The sequence below is a fragment of the Homo sapiens genome, chromosome 6, assembly GCF_000001405.40.
Source record: "Homo sapiens chromosome 6, GRCh38.p14 Primary Assembly".
In the NCBI taxonomy this organism is placed as follows: domain Eukaryota; kingdom Metazoa; phylum Chordata; class Mammalia; order Primates; family Hominidae; genus Homo; species Homo sapiens.
The window spans coordinates 35,935,281-35,959,925 of NC_000006.12; the positions used below are offsets into that span (position 1 = coordinate 35,935,281).

Consider the following 24,645-nt stretch of genomic DNA (forward strand, 5'->3'; position numbering starts at 1 on the left):
ATGCCTGAGTAACTTTTAAAAGTTTTTAGTAGAGATGGAGTTTTGCCATGATGGCCAGGCTGGTCTCAAACTCCTGGCTTCAAGTGATCCATCCTCCGACCTCAGCCTTCCAAAGTGCTGGGATTACAGGCATGAGCCAACACACGCAGCCCATATTTTTTTTCTTTCAGAACTTAAAAGATGTCATCCTAAAAGAGTCTTCTGGCTTTCATGGGAAAGTTTAGCAATCAGTGTTCTTGCTGTTCTCCTGTAAGTATGGGTCTTCTTTCTCGGCTTTGTGTAAGATTTACTGTTTATCTTTGGTTTTCAGCAACTTGGCTATTATATGCCTACACTTGGTTTCTACTTTATCCTGCTTTTCAGCCGTCTTGAATCTTTGAACGATCTTTCCTGTTTTGGCAAATTGCCAGTCACTATAGTTTCAGAAATTGCTTTCCCTATTCTTTTCTCTGTTTCTGGAACTCCTATAAGATATATATTAGGGGGCCAGGCACGATGGCTCACACCTATAATCCCAGCATTTTGGGAGGCTGAGGTGGGCGGATCACAAGGTCAGGAGTTTGAGACCAGCCTGGCCAACATGGTGAAACCCTGTCTCTACTAACAATACAAAAATTAGCCGGGCATGATGGTGTGCACCTGTAGTCCCAGCTGCTCGGGAGGCTGAGGCAGGAGAATTCCTTGAACCCAGGAGGCGGAGGTTGCAGTGAGCTGAGATCGTGCCACTGCACTCCAGCCTGGGTGACAGAGTGAGACTTTGTCTCAAAAAAAAAAAAAAAAGATATATATTAGGCCATTTGACTTTGTCCTACATGTCTTGAATGCTCTCTTCTGTTTTGTTTTTTTTTTCATTTTTTTCTCTATGTGCTTCATTTAGAATATTTTCTGTTTACTGTCTCAGTTATCTAATCCTATGTTTTGCTGTGTTCAGTCTGTTAAATTCATCTGATAAGTTTTTATTTTCTAATACTTCATATTTCAGTTCTAGAATGCCCATTTGATTCTTTTTCTATAGGTTACAATTCTCTTTTGAAATTATCTATCTTCATTTTGCCCATCTTTTACTCTACTTTAACATCCTTATAATCATTATTTTGAAGTCCTTGACTGCTAATTCTAACACCTGGATCATCTGTGGGACTGCTTATATTATATAATTTTTTCTTAATTATCAGATACTTTTCCTGCCTCTTCATGTGCCTTGTGATTGTTTCTAACTATATGCTGGATGTTGTTTAAAAACATAAACTGAAGTCAATGTTACTGCCCCCAAGATAAGATATACTCTTTTTTTCTATTTGCCTAATAAGGCAAATAAGGTGAGGCAGTTATCATCTCAATTCAATCAGGAATTGAGCTATGCTCTGGCATTGGTTAGACTCAGCCCACCTCTGATTTTAAATGTTTCAAGGGGAAGACTCTTTGTGTGCTTATGTCCTGTTTCCATAGTGGTACCTTGTCTCCTAAGCATTTTCGGACTGTAGGAAACTTCATTTTGCCTTTGCAGGCCAATCTCTAGTCTCCTGAGTGGCCCTGGCACTCAGCAGATGTCTTGAGTAGAACAGCAGTCAGTTGGTTGTGACAGCCCATGTGCTATCAGAAGCTTCACTGTGCCTAAGGAAAGCCTGATCTTTAGCACTTACCCAAACTCAGCAAATAACCCTGATATGGTTTGGCTCTGTGTCCCCACCCAAATCTTATCTTGTAGCTCCCATAATTCCCACATGTTGTGGGAGGGACCTGGTGGAAGATGATTGAATTGGGGGGGTGGGTCTTTCCTGTACTATTCTTGTGATAGTGAATGGGTCTCATGAGATCTGATGGTTTTAGAAAATGGGAGTTGCCCTGCACAAACTCTCTCTTTACCTGCTGCCATCCATGTAAGATGTGGTTTGCTCCTCCTTGCCCTTTGTCATAATCTTGAGGCTTCTCTAGCTATGTGGAACTGTGAGTTCTCCATTAAACCTCTTTCCTTTGTAAATGGTCCAGTCTCAGGTATGTCTTTTGCAGTGTAAAAACAGACTAATACAAACCCCTAAGAAAGAAAATGGCCAATAATCTCAACTTCCCTGGGAAGGAATCTTTTCTCTCTTAACTTTTAGTTCTTTTAATCTTCTTTGCTTCTACAGCTCTCCAATATCTTTCAAAATATGATTTTTATAATTCATTCATTTTTTTTCACTTTTTTTTTTTTTTTAAAGAGACAGGGTCTCACCATGTTGCCCAGGCTGGTCTCGAGTTCCTGAGCTCAAGTGATCCTCCTGCCTAAACCTACCAAAGTTTTGGGATTACATGCATGAGCCATGATGCCCAGCTCATGTTTTTCCTCTTGATGTAAAGTGATAAACTGTAACATCCTACTACATTTTACTCAAAAGTAGAAGTTTTCTTATGTTCTTTTCCAGTTAATTAGTTCACATAGGATTCAAACAAGGTCCATGCATTGCACGTAGTTGATATAACACTTAAGTCTCCTGGTTTATAGGTTCCTCCTCCCTCTGTTTTTGTTGTTGTTATGTTTGTTTTTCATCTTTTTTTTTTTTTTAAATATGTGGTCTTTCTATGTTGCCCAGGCTGGTCTCTAACTCCTGGGCTCAAGCGATCCTCCTGTGTCAGCCTCCCAAGTTGCTGGGACTATAGGCACATACCACCATGCCCAGCTGTTTTTCATCTTAGTTGTTAAAGAAACTGGTTCATTTGTTCCGTTGAATTTTCTGGATTCTACTAATTAGATTCTCCTAGTGTTATTTAACATGTTCCTCTGCTCCTTGTATTTACTACAATCTACCAGATCTAGAGGACTGATAATATTCGGGTTCAATTTTTTGGCATAATTACGTTATAGGTGGTACTATGTCGAGTCGGCCCTCCATATTCATGAGTTCCACATCTGCAGATTCAACCAAGCAGGTATAAAAAATATTTGGGGGTGGGTTGTGGTGGCTCACACCTGTAATCCCAACACTTTGGGAGGCTGACGTGGGAAGATCACTTGAGGCCAGGAGTTCAAGACTGGCCTGGGCAACATAGCAAGACCCTGTCTTTACAAAAATAAAAGAACAGGCCCAGCTGCAAAACTAAAAAATTATTTAAAAAATAGGCCCAGCTAAACCCAACCTAAATTGCAGAATTATTAGCAAATGCATGATTATTGTTTTAAGCTACTAAATTTTGGGGTGGTTTGTTACGCAGCAATAGATTACTAAAACACATAGTATCTAGGATATGGTGAGCATTCCAATAAATGTTTAATTAAATTGTAAGAGATTAGATGGGTAATTTGACTAGTCAGCCCTCGTGGTCCTTCCAACCACTGAAATTCTATGGCCCTAATAATACCTTGGATTATGCCATTATTCTCTACCTCTGCTAATGAGTCACATCTGGATGCAATATAGTTGAGTCCTTGGACTTTGTGACACTTAACACATATAGAGACAGCTACCTGGGGTCACTTTATTTTTTGACAGTCTCTTTCAAACCTACTTTTTTGCAGTACTGTGGAATCCACTTAGATATTCACATATGAAAATCATACCTCAACCGCCATTTACTGTAGAACACAAGCTGTTTTGAGGGAAAGTAATGGAAGTATTTGTGCTTCCAAGACATTTATACTTTCCAACTTATTCTTTACCCATTTTGCAGCCTTTAGAATTTTTCTCCAGTTTCTTATTAGAGAGAGAAAGCCATGATGACCATGCTGCAAAAAGTGAGCTAACTAATCCAAACTATACCATTTGGTAAAGTTTGAAATGGCTTAGAATTTCGAGTGATCTGCATGTTGGAAGACTTAGCCTTTGAATTGTTAATCACTTTACCCTTTCTTTAGTGCTGTACTATTTACGATGAGTTAATCAATTTTCCTTATTTGATTACTTTGGGAGGGGCTCAATGCTATGGGTTTATACCAGAATATTTTTAAAAGACGGAGTATAGTCCAAGCATCTGGTTGGTCTTTCTGAGGTCATGCATGAAAGCCAATATTTTACCATTAATATGGTTTGGCTCTGTGTCTCCATCCAAATCTCATCTTGAATTGTAATCCGAATTGCAGTCGCCACATGGGAGGGACTTGGTGGGAGGTGATTGGATCATGGGGGCAGTTTCCCCCATGCTGTTCTCGTGATAGTGAGTTCTCACGAGAGCTGGTGGTTTTAAAAGTGTTTGGCAGCTCCCCTTTTGCTCTCTCCTGCCACCTTGTGAAGAAGGTGCCTGCTTCCCCTTTGCCTTCCACCATGATTGTAAGTATCCTGAGGCCTCCCCAGTCATGTGGAACTGTGAGTCAATTAAACCTCCTGATATGGTTTAGCTGTGTCCCCACCAAATCTCAACTTTAATTGTATCTCCCAGAATTCCCTCGTGTTGTGGGAGGGTCCCAGGGGGAGGTAATTGAATCATGGGGGCCAGTCTTTCCTGTGCTATTCTCGTGATAGTGAATAAGTCTCACAGGATCTGATGGTTTTATCAGGGATTTCTGTTTTTGCTTCCTCTTCATTTTGTCTTGCCACCGCCATGTAAGAAGTGCCTTTTACCTCCTTCCATGATTCTGAAGCCTCCCAAGCCATGTGGAACTGTAAATTCAGTTAAACCTCTTTTTCTTCTCAGTCTCAGATATGTCTTTACCAGCAGCATGAAAACGGACTAATACAGTAAATTGGTACCAGTAGAGTGGGTTGCTGCTGAAAAGATACCTGAATATGCAGAAGCAACTTTGGAACTGGGTAACAGGCAGAGGTTAGAACAGTTTGGAGGGCTCAGAAGAAGACAAGAAAATGTGGGAAAATTTGGAACTCCCTAGAGACTTGTTGAATGGCTTTGCCCAAAATGCTGATAGTGATATGAACAATAAGGTCCAGGCTGAGGTGGTCTCAGATGGAGATGAGGAACTTGTTGGGAATTGGAACAAAGGTGACTCTTGTTATGTTTTAACAAAGAGACTGGTGGCATTTTGCCCCCGCCCTGGAGATTTGTGGAACTTTGAACTTGACAGAGATGATTTAGGGTATCCGGCAGAAGAAATTTCTAAGCAGCAAAGCATTCAAGAGGTGACTTGAGTACTGTTAAAGGCATTCAGTTTTATAAAAGAAGCAGAGCATAAAAGTTCAGAAAATTTGCAGCCTGACAATGTGATAGAAAAGAAAAACCAATTTTCTGGAGAGAAATTCAAGCTGGCAGCAGAAGTAGCAAGGAGCCTAATGTTAATCCCCAAGACCATGGGGAAAATGTCTCCAGGCCACGTCAGAGACCTTCACAGCAGCCCCTCCAATCACAGGCCTGGAGGCCCAGGAAGAAAATGTGGTTTCATGGGTCGGGCCCAGGTCCCTGTGCTGTGCGCAGCCTAGGGACTTGGTGCTCTGTGTCCCAGCTGCCCTGGTCATGGCCGAAAGGGGCCAACATAGAGCTCGGGCTGTGGCTTCAGAGGGTGGAAGCCCCAAACCTTGGCAGCTTCCACATGGTGTTGAGCCTGTGGGTGCACAGAAGTCAAGAATGGAGGTTTGGGAACCTCTGCCTAGGTTTCAGAAGATGTGTGGAAATGCCTGGATGCCTAGGCAAAAGATTGCTGTAGGGGCGGGGCCCTCATGGAAAATCTCTGCTAGGGCAGTGCAGAAGGGAAATGTGGGGTTGGAGCCCCCACACAGAGTCCCTACTGGGGCACTGTCTAGTGGAGCTGTGAGAAGAGGGCCACCATCCCCCAGACCCCAGAATGGTAGATCCACTGACAGCTTGCACCGTGCACCTGGAAAAGCTACAGACACTCAACACTAGCCCATGAATGCAGCCAGGAGGGAGGCTGTACCCTGCAAAGCCACAGGGGTGGGGCTGCCCAAGACCATGGGAACCCACCTCTTACATAACCTGGATGTGAGACCTTGAGTCAAAGGAGATCATTTTGGAGCTTTGAAATTTGACTGCCCCACCGGATTTTGGGCTTGCATGGGCCCTGTACACCCTTTGTTTTGGCCAATTTCTCCCATTTGGAATGGCTGTATTTACCCAATACCTGTACTCCCATTGTATCTAGGAAGTAACTAGCTTGCTTTCGATTTTATAGGCTCATAGGCGGAAGGGACTTGCCTTGTCTCAGATGAGACTTTGGACTGTGGACTTTTGTGTTAATGCTGAAATGCGTTAAGACTTTGGGGGACTGTTGGTAAGCCATGATTTGTTTTGAAACTTGAGGACATGAGATTTAGAGGGGTCGGGGTGGAATGATTTGTTTGGGAGCTGTGTCCCGACCAAATCTCAACTTTAATTATATCTCCCAGAATTCCCACGTGTTGTGGGAGGGACCCAGGGGAGGTAATTGAATCATGGGGGCTGATCTTTCCCATGCTATTCTCATGATAGTGAATAGTCTCACGAGATCTGACGGTTTTATCAGGGGTTTCTGCTTTTGCTTCTTCCTCATTTTCTCTTGCCGCCACCATGTAAGAAGTGCCTTTCACCTCCCACCATGATTCTGAGGCCTCCCAAGCCATGTGGAACTGTAAGTTCAATTAAACCTCTTTTTCTTCCCAGTCTCAGATATGTCTTTATCAGCAGCATGAAAATGATCTAATACACCTCCTTTCTTTATAAATTACCTGGTTTCAGGTAGTATCTTTATAGCAGAGTGAAAACAGACTAATACAGCCTTGTTGCAGTTGTGGCAGAAAGGACCCAAGTCTAGACTCTATGACTTAATGGTGCAAGTGTCAGAAGCCATTGATTCTGTGTTTACAGACTTTACTCTAATGGATACATGGGACTAGAAGGGAACTGGAGTGAGAAGGCAGCAGCCCGCAGAAACTGGGCTCTCTGTGCACTTCTTAGTCTCCTGTTATAAATGTGAAATGTTTCCTTGGCTTTGGCAGATTTCTGTGCCTGTCCCTGCCATCCTGACAACTTATTCCTGGTTTGACATTTCTAGTTGAGCCCTTGGTATCATAGCCTCCATCTAGTTGTGCCCCAGGATATTCAGCTTCTGTTCTCATCCATGGCCACCGCTCTTGGTTTCCCATTTGGTCCTGCTCTTCTAGTAGTCATTGGAACTTGCTTTAAGCCTATCTCCTACTCATCCTTCAGGATCTCAAGTCATATGTCATTGCCTTGGGAAGAACTTCCTTGAGACTCAAGACTAGGTCAGGTCTCTTGATACATGCCCCAAGAGTTTCTTGTGTTTCACCTTCACAATTTGTAATTTATTGCTTTTCACAATTTGTAATTATTTTTGTCATCTGTTCTATACTCATCCTATATCTTCAGCACCTGGGACAGTGCTTAGCACAGAGTAGGTGTTCAATAAATGTGTTCAGTAAACATGAAACAATGAAGCTTGTGACTTTGGCCCCTACCTCTTTTTGTATTTACAAGGTCATATTGCACATTATATCTCAGTTTATGCATGTATAAATTAGGATAATATTATTTTACCTACCTCACAGTTCAAGGTGCTATGCATGTAGCAGATGCATGTAACAAAATGCTTGTAGAATGAGTGAATGCATGTGCTATCTCTATGATAAAAGAAATCTATATTTTAACTAAGATTTATTTCACTTAACAAGAGAAATGGAGTACCCAAACAGGAGGAGTCATGTTTTTTGAGCTGGAAATAAAATTCAGGATTTCATATACCTTTGCCCAGGGGTCTATATTTTTCTTCTGGTCATACTTTAATACTAGACATATTTTAAATGGGGAAGGGGGAAATTTTTTGAATGGATTTGGACAAAACTAGTAATGATTGACTTTTCCAACTTCTAGGCTGGTTGTGGCTGTCACAGATTTTAACTCCTCGGTGCACCAAGAGTACAGATTCCAAATTGCCTATATCTTAAAAACTTGTAAGAAAGAAGCAATGGTGAATGTGAATCTGAACACCAGGGAGAGTTCCAGAAAGGGAATTCCCATCAGTTGGTACTACTAATTGGCCTTATGAAACGAGTGGCAGGATAAGATCTTGACCTCTGAGAATGACAGCAAAAGTGCTCTCAGCTTAGCAGGACCTGGTACTACAAGTCTCACAGGCTGGCTTACCTTTGGCCTGGATTAACCTGCCTGTTTTCCCCATTTCCCCTATCAGTACAGGGAAAATACCTTGCATATAAAATACAAATGCTACTTAATTTTTCTTTTTCTTGTTCATCTCTTCTCCATGATGTCCACTCCCTTCCAGGATCCCTCCTATTTGACATTTCCTTCAGGATACAGAATACAGAGAAGGGAGAAGGTGCAGGAAGGATCCAAATGTTACTAGAGTTATACATTTTATTTGAGCTTCATCTCTTTGGAGAAAGGGGAACAGGGATGAGAGGATTAAGTTAGAGATGGTCTGGCACAAAGCCCAGAGATGTGGGGTGTGTGAAGAAGGAAATTCATGACTAGAATATATGCTGAAGGTGAAATGAGGGGAGCCTGGATAGGGAATTCAGAGATAATTGTTGGCATTTAGTAATGTGATTTGGGAGTATGATCCCAGCGCAGAGCAAGGAAGAAGGCTGGCAGGTAGTAGGAGTCACAGTCAGGAAGGAAGTACTGCTAGTTCGTATCCAGTCTAGGTCTCTGGACAATTGACCCCTTTTTGGGTAGGAGGATTTGCCAGCATTATCTGACCCCTTATTTCTAGTTCATCTCCTAGACATCTTCATTGCTGTTGCCCTCTGGTGAGTATGAATCCATAGGATGGCGTCTCCTCTCCACTGACCATGTCCGAGTCTGAGTCTGAGACTGGGTGGAAGCCATAGACGGATGATACATAGGCCAGTAACGCTGCTGAGGAAAAGTGTGAGCTCTTGGCCTAGATTTGGGGTTGGGCTCCATCTCAGGCTCAGTCTCAGGCTGGGGCTCCATCTCGGTCTGGGTCTTGGTCTCGGTCTCAGCCTTGGGCTCCATTTCAGGCTCCAGCTCCCGATCCAGGTCTAGGTCCAGACCCAGCCCAGCCTCTTGTTCTGATTCCAGCTCCAAATCCAACTCCGACTCCTCTTCTACAGGCTGTTGGATCTTGATGAAGCCTGGACTTACATTTTTTTGGCTTCCTAGAAAACTGCTGCTCATTTTATATCTTGAATTGTCATTCTGAAATACAATTAGGTGGGTTAAAATTTCTAATTAAATTTAACCTTCTGCTGAACGCAGTGGCTCATACCTGTAATCCCAGCACTTTGAGAGGCTGGGGCAGGAGAATCGCTTTAGACCAGGAGTTCAAGGCCAGCCTGGGCAACATAGTAAAACTTCTATCTTAACAAATAATAATAATAATTATAATTATTATATAATAATAATAATTATTATTATTTTAAAAACTAGTTGGGCATGATGGCACATGCCTGTAGTCCTAGCTACTCAGGAGGCTGAGGCAGGAGGATTGCTTGAGGCTGAGACTGCAGTGAGCTGTGTTTACACCGCTGCACTCCAGCCTGAGCAACACAGTGAGACTGTCTCAAAAAACAAACAAACAAAAAAACCCAGAATTTTAATTTTTGAGCAGTCAAGGAATTTCAGAATACAACAGGACTTAAGGTACCAGAACCATGGGTTCCTTGCAGAGTAGAAAATATTTCTTGCCTAAATCTACTTTTCTGTTTATTATTATTATTAATTTTGACACAGAGTCTTGCTCTGTTGCCCAGGCTGGAGTGCAGTGGCATGATCTTGGCTCACTGCAACCTCTACTTCCCGAATTCAAGTGATTCTCTTGCCTCAGCCTCCCAAGTAGTTGGGACTACAGATATGCACCACCACGACTGGCTAATTTTTATATTTTTAGTAGAGACAGGGTTTCACCATGTTGGCCAGGCTGGTCTCAAACTCCTGAGCTCAAGTGATCCACCTGCCTCAGCCTCCCAAAGTGCTGGGATTACAGGCATGAGCCACTGTGCCCAACCTTTATTTATTTTTCATTAAAATTTTTTTTAATTTTCTTTAAAATGCCAATGACATCATCCATAAATCTGCTTTTCATCTTCTTTCTACCTTCTGGTTTCTCAGTTACTCACTATTCTTCAGACTCAATCAATTTCCAACTTAGAATTTCTCTGGCTTTTCTAGCTAGACCGGATTTCATGACCAACCATTTAAAACAGCAATGGACTTAACAACATTCTGAAACATCTTGTCTTCTTGATCTTACTTGTCTTGCCAACCCCCAGTGCAATCCTTGACAGGGCCTATAAGGCTGTGTGTGACCTGGCCTCTTGCCATTCTTCTTTAGCTTTATTCCAGCTGTGGTCCCCGCCCTTTGCTCTCACCATAAAGTTACCCAGAGTTGCCTGACTACTGCTCAGCTTTGTGCGTGCCATTCCCTTTGCCTACCTTGTCCTCCTCCATCTTGTCCACATCCACTTAGTCATCACCCCAGATTCAGAGCCAAGATGACCAGGCAGGACCACAGCTTCTTTTGTGTTCCAACTACATCTCATTCACACTTCCATCATAGTACCAGTAACATATTCTTTATTTATTTACAAACCTACTCCTTACTAGACTCTAAGCTCCTTGTGGTATATGACAGGGCCTGGTTCTTGATATCCCCAGTACCAGACACTGAGCTTGTCACATAGCAGGTGCCCACAGGCCTTGCATCAGCCTTGAATCAGCCTGTAACAGCATTCCTCAAAATTAATCACTTCAACTTTCCTGAAACATTTTCTTCTCGACCACCATATGACACTCTTCTGCTTTTCCTCCTTCCTTCCTGGTTGCTGCTCCTTGGTCTTTTTGCTATCTCCTCTCCTTCTACTGGACTTCTAGATGTTGGTATGCCCCAGGGCTTGATCCTGGGACCTTTCTCTTGTCTATCTATGCTCTCTCCATAGGGACTTTTATTTTGGGCCCATAATTTTCATTACCATCTATATGCTGATGCTGATGATTCTTTGGTTATAACCCTTCCCCTGATCTGCAGGTTCATAAATTCACTTCCATTCTTGACATCTCCATTTGAATGTTTAATAGGCCACTTGAATTTTTTTGTTTTGTTTTGTTTTGTTTTAGACAGAGTATCACTCTGTTGCCCAGGCTGGAGTACAGTGGCATGATCTTGGCTCACTGCAACTTCCGCCTCCCAGGTTCAAGTGATTCTCCTGCCTCAGGCTCCCAAGTAGCTGGAATGACAGGCATGCGCCACCACACCCGACTAATTTTCGTATTTTTAGTTGAGAATAGGATTCACCATGTTGGCCAGGCTAGTCTCGAACTCCTGGCCTCAAGTGATCCACCTGCCTCACCTCCCAAAGTGCTAGGATTACAGGCGTGAGGCCACACCTGGCCCAGGCATTTTGAATTCAATACACATGAAATAGAACTTGCTCCTCTCCTAGTCTTCCCTGTCTTAAATAGTAGAAAACAATTGACATATTCAATACCAAGTCTTAATATAAGAATGTTAGTACGTTAGGAAAATATTTTTTAAAAACATAGTAGATAATGTCCATCTTTTTTTTTGACCGGGTCTTACTCTGTCATCCAGGCCAGAGTGCAGTGGCACAATCAAAGCTCACTGTGACCTCAAACTACTGGGCTCAAGCAATCCTCCTGCCTCAAGCTCCCGAGTAGCTAGGATTACAGGTATGCACCATCATACCTGGCTGATTTTTAGTTTTTTTTTTCAAGATAAGAGTCTCACTATGTTGTCCAGGTTGCTCTGAAATTCCTGGCCTCAAGTGATTCTTCTGCCTCAGTCTCCCAAAGTGCTGACATTACAGGCATGAGTTACTACGGCTGGCTGATATGTCCATCTTAAACCAGCATCACCACTAGTCTTTTATTTTTTAATTTTTTTTTGAAACAGGGTCTCGCTCTGTTGCCCAGGCTGGAGTGCAGTGGCAGGATCTCAGCCCACTGCAACCTCCGCTTCCTGGGTTAAAGTGATTCTCATGCCTTGGCCTCCTGAGTAGCTGGGGTTATAGGCACGCGCCAGCATGCCCAGCTAATTTTTTTGTATTTTTTGTAGAGACAGGGTTTTGTCATGTTGGCCAGGCTGGTCTCAAACTCCTGGCCTCAAGTGATCCGCCTTCCTTGGCCTCCCGAAGTGCTAGGATTGCAGGCATGAGCCACCACACTTGGCCACCACTAGTCTTAATAGAGACACACAGGATCCTTCTCATTAAATTCAGGAGTAAGACAAGATTCATCATTATTACTTGTTCTGAGAGGTTTAGTTAATGCAATAATATATGATATTGAAATAAGAATTCTAACAATTGGAACATAAGAGATTAGTATTATTTTTAGAAAATATTTTCCTATTTGGAAAACCCAAAGGAATTAACAGTGAAACCTCTTAGGAATAGTAAAGTGATTCACAAAGGTAGCCAAATAATTTAATAAAAACCAATGAGTTTCCTATATGTTAGCAATTGCCAGTTAGAAAATATAATGGAAATGGCCAGGTGTGGTGGCTCATGCCTGTAATCCCAGCACTTTGGGAGGTGGAGGTGGGTGGATTGCTGGAGCCCAGGAGTTTAAGACTAGCCTGGGCAACATGGCAAAACCCCGTCTCTGTGAAAGATACAAATATTAGCTGGGCATAGTGGTGTGCGTCTGTACTCCCAAATACTCAGGAGGCTGAGGTTGGAGGATTGCTTGAGCCTGAGAGGCCGAGGCTGTGGTGCACTGTGATCATGCCACTGCACTTCAGCCTGGGTGACAGAGTGAGACCCTGTCTCAAAAAAACAAAAAAGTAAAACATATAAAGTATCTAAGATTTTCCCATGTGAAGAAAGTCACAAAACCTTACTATGAATGAAACATTTAAGAAGACAATAAATGTAGAGACAGTTCATGTTTCTGGATAAGAAGAATGAATACTATAAAGATATAAATTCTCAAGGGATTTTATATTTTTAATACAACTCTAATGATTATTTCAATAAGATTTGTTTTTGTGGGGTGGGGACCTGACAAAAGATTCAAAAGTTGGTTTGGAAGAATAAATTGGTGAGAATGACTTAGCAAATTTTGAAATAGAACACTGATGACATAGGACTTCTTAACCAAATGTTAAAGTGTATTATACAGCAATACTAATAAAAACAGTGTGATGGCTAGGCACGATGGCTCACATCTGTAATCCCAGCATTTTGGGAGGCTAAGGTGGGCAGATCACCTGAGGTCAGGAGTTCGAGACCAGCCTGGGCAACATGGTGAAACCTCGTCTCAAATAAAAATACAAAAATAAGCCAGGTGTGGTGGCGCATGCCTGTAAGCCCAGCTACTCAGGACGCTGAGGCAGGACAATCACGTGAACCTGGGAGGCGGAGGTTGCAGTGAGCCGAGATTGTGCCACTGCACTCCAGACTGGGCGACAAAGTGAGACTCTGTCTCAAAAAACAAAAACAAAAACAAAAAACACTGTGATACTGAAGCTATACAGAAAAATGACATCCACAACTAAACTAGAAATACACTTTAGTTTTCATAAGAATATAATATTTTATGAAAATAACATATCAGTAGGGGAAAGAAGGCTTATTCAATAGATGGTTGGATGGTGGTATGATTTGCATGAGTGGCTTCCAAAATCCATCCACATTGTGGTGGTATTAAGAGGTGAGGCCTTTGGGGAGTGATTAAGTCATAAGGGCTCTGCCCTTGTGAATGGATTAGTGCCTTATAAAAGGGCTGGAGGGCTAGCATAAACCCTTTTGTCCTTCCACCTTCTGCCATGTGGGGATGCTGCTGAGAGAAGATGGAAGAAGCCCTCAGCAGACACTGAAACTGCCAGGACCTTGATCTTGGACTTCTCGCATTCAGAACTGTGAGAAATAAATATCTATTATTTACAAATTACCCAGTCTCAGATATTTTGTTATAGTAGCACTAATGAACTAAGATAGATGGCATATAGCCCAAAATAGTTAGCTACATAGATAAAAAATAAAGATTAAGCCTGAGTGCAGTGGCTCATGCCTGTAATCCCAGCACTTTGGGAGGCTGGGGCGGGTAGATCATGAGGTCAGGAGTTCAAGACCAGCCTGGCCTACATAGTGAAACCCTGTCTCTACTAAAAATATAAAAATTATCCAGGTGTGGTGGCGGGCGCCTGTAGTCCCAGCTACCTGGAAGGCTGAGGCAGGAGAATCGCTTGAACCCAGGAGGCAGAGGTTGCAGTGAGCCGAGACCATGCCATTGCACTCCAGCCTGGGTGACAGAATGAGACTGTCTCAAAAATAAAAAAAAAATAAAGATTACCCTTCAATACCTGTATACTGAAATACATTCTATTTACATTAAAGAGTATAACATATAAAAAATAAAAACATAAAAATCTAGAAAATGTGTCTTATTTACCTTCTAAGAGGGAATGACTTTCTAAATAAAAAGTAAATATAATAAGAAAAGGAAACATTAATAGATATGACTAAATATGTAAAAACAAATATATCGAGTATCATAATTATAAATTAAAAAATAGAGAAACTTCCATTTATAGTAAAAGCAGACTGCATAATTCAAACCAATTAGTTAGTCATTACTAATTATTAACTACTAGTTAACTAGTTGTTTTTTTATTAACTACCAGTTAACTAGTTGTGTGTGTGTGTGTTTTTTTGTTTTTTTTTTTAGAGTCTCACTCCGTCGCCCAGTCTGGAGTGCAGTGGCGCGATCTCGGCTCACTGCAACCTCTGCCTCCTGGGTTCAAGCGATTCTCCTGCCTCAGCCTCCCAAGTAGCTGGGACTACAGGCGCGTGCCACCACGCCCGGCTAATTTTTTTGTATTTTTAGTAGAGATGGGGTTTCACCAGGATGGTCTCGATCTCCTGACCTAGTGATTCGCCTGCCTTGGCCTCCCAAAGTGCTGGGATTACAGGCGTGAGCCATCTCGCCCGCCCGTTGTACGGTCTTAACTGTTTCAGATGTGGTGTCTCATTTCATCAACTAGGCTTTGTTTAATAATGATTTCTAGTCATTAGATAATATTAGATAATATTTTAGTGCCCATCTGTTTTAATTTCCTTTTTTTGTTTTTGGAAACCTTTAACCTACACAGGTACTGATTTGAAAATGCTAAAGTAGGCCCAGGTCTCAGTATTTTTTTTTTTTTAGACAGAGTCTCACTCTGTCGCCCAGGCTGGAGTGCAGTGGCGTGATCTCAGCTCACTGCAACCTCTGCCTCCCGGGTTCAAGCAATTCTGCCTCAGCCTCCCAAGCAACTGGGACTACAGGTGCCCGCCACCATGCCTGGCTAATTTTTGTAGTTCTAGTAGAGAAGGAGTTTCACCATGTTGGCTAGGATGGTCTCGAACTCCTGATCTCATGATCTACCTGCCTCGGCCTCCCAAGGTGCTAGGATTACAGGCGTGAGCCATCGCACTCAGCCAGGTCTCAGTATTAATAAAAGGCTGAAAATTCAGACTTATATATTATTCTCCTTTGCATTTGGTCAGCTTGAGTAAATCTCATACCACAACAATGTAAAGGTAATAAAGCTGAGGTATTAGACAAGATTATAGATCTGAATCTCTGCTAGTTCATTAGTATTATTATTCATCCCAAGAGTGGGTGGGGTGGGGAGGAATTCTAAAGGTATAGCTAGGGGAGACATTTAGAATATTTAGCAACTGGTAATAGACACTAACCAAGAATGCTGTAGAAGGATCCTTGAGGTCTGTGCTGGGTTGGGCAAACCCTCTCTTCAGTTAGGGAAATTTCTTGAATGGAACCCTGATGCCATGACAGTGAGGGCACTTGGCTGCTCAGATCCACTGCTATTTACCAAGTGGTAAGGGTGCATTTCAACATCCCAGATTCTGGTACAGCCATACTAAATACCTTTCCTGGACATTATTCCTCTATCTGATCAGGAATCCTGACTCCCAGCCCCCAACCACCCCTCACCCATCCCCCCACTGCCCTCAATCCCTTCCCCCAACCTCATGCTTTGTCGGTTTGTCTGACCTTGTCTGTTTCTGAGTAGGTTTCCCGTATCACTGTCTCGGATTCATCGATGCTTAACTCAGAGGAGCCTATGACCTTCCTTGACAAGGCAAACAGCACGGCGTCGTGAACGCTGAGGAACAGCTGGGTCTTGGTGATGCCAGCGTCAAAGAAATCATTCCTCTCAAATGCCCTGACTATGGAAGCTAAAAACCAAACCCAGAACACACACAATGTCAGATACTTGGGGAGCAGAGGACCCAGGGTGCAAAACAGCCCTCTCATAGGGTGAAGGATACTCACAGTGACACCCTGCAATGAGTATCAAAATGTTGGCGTTTTGAAAGGCATTGCATATCTGTGGGGGGAGAGAAAACCAGTATCAGAAGGCTTTATACTTGCTAGGAAAGGCCTTCTAATTAGCTAAGTTTTTGTCTTGTTTTGTTTTGGTTTTTTGTGACAGAGTCTCACTCTGTCACCCAGATGGAGTGCAGTGGCATGATCTCGGCTCACTGCAACCTCCGCCTCCCAGGTTCAAGTGATTTGTCCACCTCAGCCTCCCAAGTAGCTGAGACTACAGGTGCATACCACACGCCTGGCTAATTTTTGTATTTTTAATAGAGACAGGGTTTCACCATATTGGCCAGGCTGGTCTCAAACTCCTGACTTCGTGATCTGCCTGCCTCGACGTCCCAAAATGCTGGGATTACAGGCGTGGGCCACTGCACCCAGCCAATTAGCCGAGTTTTAAAACCCCTTTGGCCCTTCACTTGTCTGGGGGTATATGTACCTTGCATCCCAATTCAGCTCTACAAACATTTGATGAGTGGAGTTCTCTATGCCGGAAAACATCTACAGTGCTGGGAATGCAAAAGAGAATCAGACCGTGTCATGTGAGGGTGGGGAGCAGGAGGGAGAGCTGCCCATAGTCTCAAGGGGATAAACAGTATATATCAAGACAGGACGTCTGCAGGAGGAAAGCCCTAGCATAGAGACAGGCACAGGTGTGAGGCAAACACTCTGGAGAATCATCTCAAACAACCATATTTTGGCATGATGGCCTAGTGTTTGCATGAGACCCCCACTTCCCCCTGGAGTTTACTGAGCAGAGGAAGCAAGATGTGGCTCAGAGACGCTCAAGTGATGCAGTAGGGAACGGAATTCAGAAACCCTGAGGGTCACATTCAGAGCTGCCTTGCAAAGTTGCATTTGATTTTAGTAAAACATCAGATGTTTACTATCAGATAAGTAAACATCAGCTACTGTCCTCAAGTTTGCTTCAGCCAATATATACACTGTGGGGCAATAAATCTTGAAGTTCACTTCAAAGCAAATCAATATCGACTTTAATACTTAAGACTAAGTAGACACCAACCCTGAGCACTAAGTTAAAGTGTCAAAAGAAACGAACTCTGCTTCTTTCACTACCAAGAGGAAATGAAGTCATTCTTGATCATATGGCAAATCACAAAGTCATTTGGCAAAGGGCCACAACAGACTCTAAATGACAAGTGCTGGAAAAGGAAAGTCCCATGAATTAGGAAGAAGTTTAATCTGAGTGGCTGTCTCCAATAAGAATGGACTGATGGGTAGGCTGAGCGCGGTGGCTCATGCCTGTAATCCCAGCACTTTGGGAGGCTGAGGCAAGCAGATCACGAGGTCAGAAGTTCGAGACAAGCCTGGCCAATATGGTGAAACCCCGTCTCTACTAAAAATACAAAAATTATGCGGGTGTGGTGGTGTGCGCCTGTAGTCCCAGCTACTCAGGAGACTGAGGCAGAAGAATCACTTGAACCCGGGAGGTGGAGATTGCAGTGAGCCGAGATCATGCCACTGCACTCCAGCCTGGGCGACACAGCAAGATGCTGTCTCAAAAAAAAAAAAAAAAAAAAAAAATGGACTGATGGATTTTTCTTAGGTTCCAGTTTTCAATTATAAAGTAAATAGAATGATTTCTTCCAATAAGGAGGCAGTATACACAACTACAAAGGAAATGAAGAAACCTGTATTTTTAGAGTGCAAAAGTACACCATGAATCTCTGAAGGCTGAAAGTGAAAGGCGTCTGACATTGTCTCCATGTTGGGGATGGAACAGAAAGTCATCAACATGGGCCAGGTGTGGGTGGGTGCTGCCAAGGACCAGAACATATGGTGCCTCTACAAAAAGAGGAGGAGCAAGGGAGACAATGGCACAACTATACCATGGAACAGAGAGAAAGTATGATATAAAGTCAGATACTTAAAAGTTTCAATGCTGGACAGGCCACTTATGAGCTGTGAGCCTCAGACTCTTAGGGGAAAGTATGGCCTGTCTCTCAAGGCAGTTGTGAAAATTACATGAGATAGTGTATATACATGTGCCCAGCTCAGTCTGGCACGTAGTAGACACTCAGCAACGTGGGCTGAATAAAATCTAAAGTAACAACTACAGCCCAGGACCAGGAGGGGAGAACATAGCCCAGTAGAATAAGATGGAAAAGCCCAAATAACAACAGATTTTCAAAGTATAATTGAGTCAGAAAGTGGTGTTGAAAAATAAAAGGATCTCATGGATGGGAAAGCTCTTAATCTCTTCCAAACCTCTCATTTTGTAGATTAGGAAACGGAGACCCAGTTCAATTTAGTAACTTGCCTCGGGTCAGAAGGACAGTGAGCCAAGACAGAGCATACATCCCAGACTGCAAACCAGAGTTCTTTCTGCTATGAAAAGCTTCCTTTTGCCCCAGACCAAAGAGAAGCTGGACTCACTTAAGAGGCAGTCGTATTCCCTTAGGAGTAAGAAAATATGACAAAATAGGTTCTGAGGATAAAAGAAGGAAAACCATCCAAAGGCACAAATCTCAAAAGAGGTGTGCAAATCTCAAAAGAAGCACTCAAACACCATGAGTGTTCAGGATGTTCAAACCTGAGCCATCACCAAGAGGGAGACAGAGTGCTGTAAACTGGGATAAGCTGGCTAAAAAGGAATATTATACTTATGAGGCATTAAACAATGACATCAATATGGTTAGCTGTGCACTTAAACTGTCTGTACCATATAGGAGGAAGACAAAAGAGAACTGTTAGAGAAACCCAAGAGTAGAAAAGAAGTCAGGACCCGGGGACACAGCTTTTGAAGGGAAAATCATCCTTGTCCTTTTCACCTGATGATGTGTCAGTGAGGAAGGAAGTGGGGAAGACCCTGCAGGTACTGGACAGCCAGCCCCAAGTTTGAGGTGTCATTTCATCCCAACGTCTTCAAACTGGAGTACAAGACAGCCCAGTGCCTTTTACAGTGCTGGCTCAGATCAGCTGAACTGTGGAGAATTCCTGGTGAGCTGCTTTTTTTCTGAAGCATTCAGACCTATTCCTTGAAGAGATTTGCAGCTGACTCCCAGGATGTTCTGGGAGTTACTGGGCGTGGCACAGATTGCTGTTTCAGTGAAGTTCAGAGTGTCCTGTTTTTCATTTCTTGAGAAATAATAATGTTTTATGCTTACCAAACCAACCGCAGCTCAATACATCAGAATTGGTTCATTTTAGGCTGGGCATGGTGGCTCACGCCTGTAATCCCAGAGCTTTGGTAGGCCGAGGTGCGCGGATCACTTGAGGTTAGCAGTTTGAGACCAACCTGGCCAACATGGTGAAACCCCGTCTCTACCAAAAATACAAAAATTAGCAGGGCGTAGTGACACATGCCTGTAGTTCCAGCTATTCAGGAGGCTGAGGCAGGAGAATCTCTTGAACCTGGGAGGTGGAGGTTGCAGTGAGCCAAGATTGTGCCACTGCACTCCAGCCTGGGCAACAGAGTGAGGCTCCATCTCAAAAAAGAAAAAAGAAAAAAGAATTGGTTCATTCTCTTTTTATTTTGATTGACCTTATATTGTACTGCCTTTGGTGTCCAAGGCTCTGGTGGCCTAGCAGTCTCATAGCAGCTGATCAGTGACTAACAGAATTCAATCAGGATCAGGGTGGGGTTGGGATGGTAGGAGGGGGATCAGAGCTCCTGCCAAGGCCTCCTCAGTACTTACCTGTCTTAATACGACTAACCCCCGTGAATCCACGTAGTGTACCATGGAGAAATCCAGGATGATGGTGTGGACACTGGGCAGTAGAGACGCATCTGAGTAAGGGATGAGTGATCTCCTCCCCTGGCTTTCCGCCACATCAGGCAGTCCTGGTGAGCTGTTTCTTGATGAGTTATTAGGAAGCCAAACTTCCTCCACCTCCTCATACTGTTGCCCTTGATTTTTCTGAGACACGGACGATACTGTGTATGGCACTTGGTCTTCGGATGCAGTTTGGCTTGTGTTCATGCTCTCAAAATGTGAGCAGTGAATCAGGTTAATGGAGGATGCTTCGGGATCCAGTTTATTTTCAAATCGCTCTGTGTAAAGAATCTGGGACGACAGAGTTAAGGGAGGGCTGTGGTAAGACACCAACAAGGGCCGGAAGGACTTGCAACGATGCTATTTCTTGTCTCTGCCAGCTCATGTCCCTCTCTCATGAAACTTCTCCCGAGAGTAGGTACTGTGCATTTTTTACTTGGATATCTGTCACTTCAAGCTCACAACTGAAGCCCCCACAGTCATCTTTCCTCATCTTCACCACCCACGACACCCCCCTCCCAACTTCTGATGTTCATCACTGTCCCAGTGAGCCAGACTTAAAACATCTTTTACTCCTTTTCCTCATGCTTGGGTCCTAGTTAGTCTCCAGTGCCTACTAATACTTTGTGTGAAGTATTTTTTTCCCATCAGTCCCTTGTCTCAGCACCCTCTTCCTTCATCAGTGCAACAGTCTCCTTTCAGACTTCCTTAAGACAAAAAGCACTTGAAGGCTGGGTGCAGTGGCTCATGCCTATAATTCTAGCACTTTGGAAGGTCAAAGCAGGTGGATCCCTTGAGCTCAGCAGTTTGAAACCAGCCTGGGCAACATGGCAAAAATCTGTCTCTACAAAAAATACAAAACAATAAAAAATAAATAAGAATAAAAATAGCTGGGCGTGTCAGTGAGCCTGTAGCCCCACCTACTGGGGAGGCTGAGGTGGGAGGATTGCTTGAGCCTGGGAGATGAAGGTTGCAGTGAGCCAAGATTGCACCAGTGCACACTCCAGCCTGGGTGACACAGTGAGACCCTGTCGTGCCCCCCTGCCCCCTCCCCAAAAAAAGCTGGCACACGCCTATTGTCCCAGGTACTCAGGAGGCTGAGGTGAGAGGATCGCTTGAAGCTGGGAGGTTGAGGCTGCAGTGAGCTGTGACCACACCACCACACTCCAGATTGAGCAACAGAGCAAGACCTTATGTCCAAAAAAAAAAAAAAAAAAAAAATTACATGAGCAAGGCTGTCTTTACCACTGCTGTCAACCTCCTAAAGGCCCAGACTGCCTGCTATAGCTTAAGGACAGTAACAAGGACCAGGAACACAATGATGTGCAGGATGCAAATGTGGACTCTGCATTTACAGGAACCAGACTCTACCTGGCAGTGTGCACACGTTCATTGAAGGGATAAGTAAGGCCAGGCATGGTGGCTCACACCTGTAATCCCAGAACTTTGGGAGGCTGAGGTGGGTGGATCATCTGAGGTCAGGAGTTCGAGACCAGCCTGACCAACATGGCGAAATTCCATCTCTACTAAAAATACAAAGTTAGCCAGGTGTGGTGGTGCATGCCTGTAATCCCAGCTACTTAGGAGGCTGAGGCAGGAGAATCGCTTGAACCCAGAAGGCAGAAGTTGCAGGGAGTTGAAATTGTGCCATTGCACTCCAGCCTGGGCAATAAGAGCAAAACTCCATCTCAAAAGAAAAAAAAAAAAACAAAAGCTGGGGGTGTGCCTCACGCCTGTAATCCTAGCACTGTGGGAGGCCGAGACAGGCAGATCACCTGAGGTTGGGAGTTCAAGACCAGCCTGACCAACATGGAGAAACCACGTCTCTACTAAAAATACAAAATTAGCCAGACAGGGTGGTAAATGCCTGTAATCTCAGCTACTCGGGAGGCTGAGGCAGGAAAATTGCTTGAACCCAGGAAGCAGAGTTTGTGGTGAGCCAAGGTCGCACCATCCCACTCCAGCCCCGGTAACAAGAGTGAAACTCCGTCTCAAAATAAAAAGGATAAGTAAGAATATATATGGATGAGAACTATAAAGCACAAGGAATAATGAGAAGAATTCCTTTGCTAGAGTGGTGTAATTCTGGGTGATGTTTCTATTTTTTTTTTTAATGTTATTCTAACAATGTTGCTTGTGAAATAAATTTTAAAAATTTAAAGCTAAAAACAATATGAGGTAGTATATATTGTATAGCAGAAAAGAAAAGAAAAGTGGTGTGGATAGATGATAATGCTGCAGTTTGCAGTTCAAAGGAGAGAGCTGTTCCCAAGGCTTGAGGTCACTGGGGCCAGGCATTTGGGGAACAGGCCAGGGTTGGCTCAGTGGCAGGGAGATGTGAGCTCCTCTAGGCAGAGGGAATTCTCTGAGAGCCACCTTTTTTTTTTTTTTTTTGAGATGGAGTTTTGCTCTTGTTGCCCAGGCTAGAGTGCAGTGGCACAGATTCTGGCTCACTGAACTTCCGCCTCCTGGGTTCAAGCGATTCTCCTGCCTCAGCCTCCCGAGTAGCTGGGATTACAGGCATGAGCCACTATGCTGGGCTAATTTTGTATTTTTAGTAGAGACAGGGTTTCACCATGTTGGCCAGGCTAGTTTCGAACTCCTGACCCCAGGTGATCCGCCTGCCTCGGCCTCCCAAAGTTTTGGGATTACGGGCGTAAGCCACTGCGCCTGGCCATCCGAGATCCTTCTTTTCTCTCCTCCATCTACTCTACGTTCTTATCTTTCTTACAATCCCCTCATGTGTTATCTGCCTGACCTTACTTCCCAGGCTAAGCCTCTATCCTAAGAGCCCCACGTTTATTTCTACCTTGGTGTCTTTGTCGAAGCCTGTCCATGGACTGGGAATCCTCTTTTTTCCTACCCAACTTCAATCTAAAATTCTCTCATAAATTTCCCAGCACAGGCTGATGCTACCACAAAGTTTTTCTGACTTTTGAGCTCATGCCAATCTCCCCTTACTTGATGTCTTAAGAGCTGTTAGAATCTAGCTGGGTGTGGTGGCTCACGCCTGTAATCCCAGCACTTTGGGAGGCTAAGGCAGGTGGATCACCTGAGGTCTTGAGTTCGAGACCAGCCTGACCAATATGGTGAAACCCCGATCTCTACTAAAAATACAAAATTAGCCAGGCATGGTGGCATGTACCTGTAATCCCAGCTACTTGGGGCTGTTAGAATCTAAACATACAATTTAAAAGACAGCTATATGCTATATTGCATGATTCACTATGCTATTTTGTCAATCTTAAGATATACCACTATTATGAAAGAAAAAAACAAGCCAGGTATGGTGCTCACCCCTGTAATCCCAGCACTTTGGGAGACTGAGGCAGGTGGATTGCCTGAGGTCAGGAGTTCGAGACTAGCCTGGCCAACATGGTGAAACCCCTTCTCAGTAGCTCAGTGGAACCTATGCTCCATTAGAATGTATGGGAACAAGAGTGGATGCTCAGGGTTTTGCAAGCACCTGCATGGCGGGTGGAGGCATTTGTGTGTGTGTGTTGCGGGGGAGGATGTAAATCTTTGTGTATAGAGAGAGCTGCCCCTCCAGAGTGAGTGCTGTAGACTAGGTGATTGCCGAAAGACCCAAAAGCTAGAAATGAGCAATCCTGCTCTGGGGGAAGGGACTACTTAGATCAAGTCCAGTTTGGAAATAATGAACACTTTGTAATTCTCATCAGTAAAAATAACCTCCAAATGCTGTAAAATTCCCATCTGAAATAGCGGCCTGTGCTCATCCTCCCCGCTCCTTTCCCCCATCTCCCATCATCATTTTCTTGGCCATAGGAAGACATCAGGAGACCCTGGCAGATCCTTGAGAAGCCCAGCAACCTTGACCTTGCCCTAGTTGGAATCAGAAAACAATCTTTAAGTCACTTATTTTCAGAAATCTAAAGCTTGGCCGCTAAGAGCCAGGGAAATAGGTGCAACTACAGAATTACAGTCTCAACAGGCAAACTGTTCTCTGGTCACTGTTCAACCAGTAGAAGTCAGAACACTTCCCACCTACTTTCTTGTGAAAACCTGAACCTCAAGGGGGAATCTTGTGCCTTTTTTTTTTCAGTCAAGCCTCCAAGGTGAGAGGAACCTTGTATCTTAATTTCTGAATTCTTCATGGTCCATCTAAAAGTCAAAATCCCTTAGAGGTTTTGATTTTTTTTTTAAGAAATGACTAGTGTACTTGTTTATAAAATATGGAGAAAAACATAGGAAAGAAAAGGCATTTCTAACCCTGGGCAGCGGCTCCAGATCATCACAGTTGCAGAAACACCTGCAAATCTTTCCTCCTTGTAGATTGGTGTCACTTGAATTAAACAAGCTGAAAATTTCTTCTTCTTTAAGAGGCACCTTTACCATATCAACCTGAAAGACATGAGAGGTCTCATCCAGAGGAAGAATGGTGGAACAGAAGGTGAAAGAGTGGGAGAGAGATGCCAGTGGCGGGGAGTGGGCAGGTTGAGAAAGGCGGGCAGGAGGGCAGATACCTCTTTTAACAGCTTATGCTTTAGGTAGTAAACATTTACAAATGTAATTGAGCTGCAGCACTGGAAGATTTTCACCCCAGGAATGGTGATGATCTGCAAGACAAAATGTGAAGTTGAGGGAAATTTCTCAGTTATTTTATGGAATAAGAATAATATATCCTTAGAAGCTCCTAGAGAGTCTGTATTCTTCTTTTTTATTTTTTTATTTTTTT

General features: G+C 43.6%; 1 protein-coding gene across 6 annotated transcripts in view; it reads right to left on the reverse strand.

Moving 5' to 3' along the window:
- SLC26A8 (solute carrier family 26 member 8) overlaps positions 8,236-24,645 on the reverse strand; it is an 81,126-nt gene continuing 64,716 nt past the window's right edge. For 5 of the 6 annotated variants that reach the window (XM_011514294.4, NM_052961.4, NM_001193476.2 and 2 more), the window contains 6 exons: positions 24,434-24,526; positions 24,180-24,311; positions 19,872-20,240; positions 16,165-16,219; positions 15,883-16,067; positions 8,236-9,060 (listed from right to left, as the gene is read on the reverse strand). In XM_011514294.4, the coding sequence (XP_011512596.1) occupies positions 8,620-9,060; positions 15,883-16,067; positions 16,165-16,219; positions 19,872-20,240; positions 24,180-24,311; positions 24,434-24,526 (1,275 nt within the window). In that variant the 3' untranslated portion in view covers positions 8,236-8,619. Of the gene's footprint in view, positions 9,061-15,882; positions 16,068-16,164; positions 16,220-16,651; positions 16,722-19,871; positions 20,241-24,179; positions 24,312-24,433; positions 24,527-24,645 lie in introns of those variants that run through there. The other variant, XR_926055.4, reaches the window with a different exon arrangement.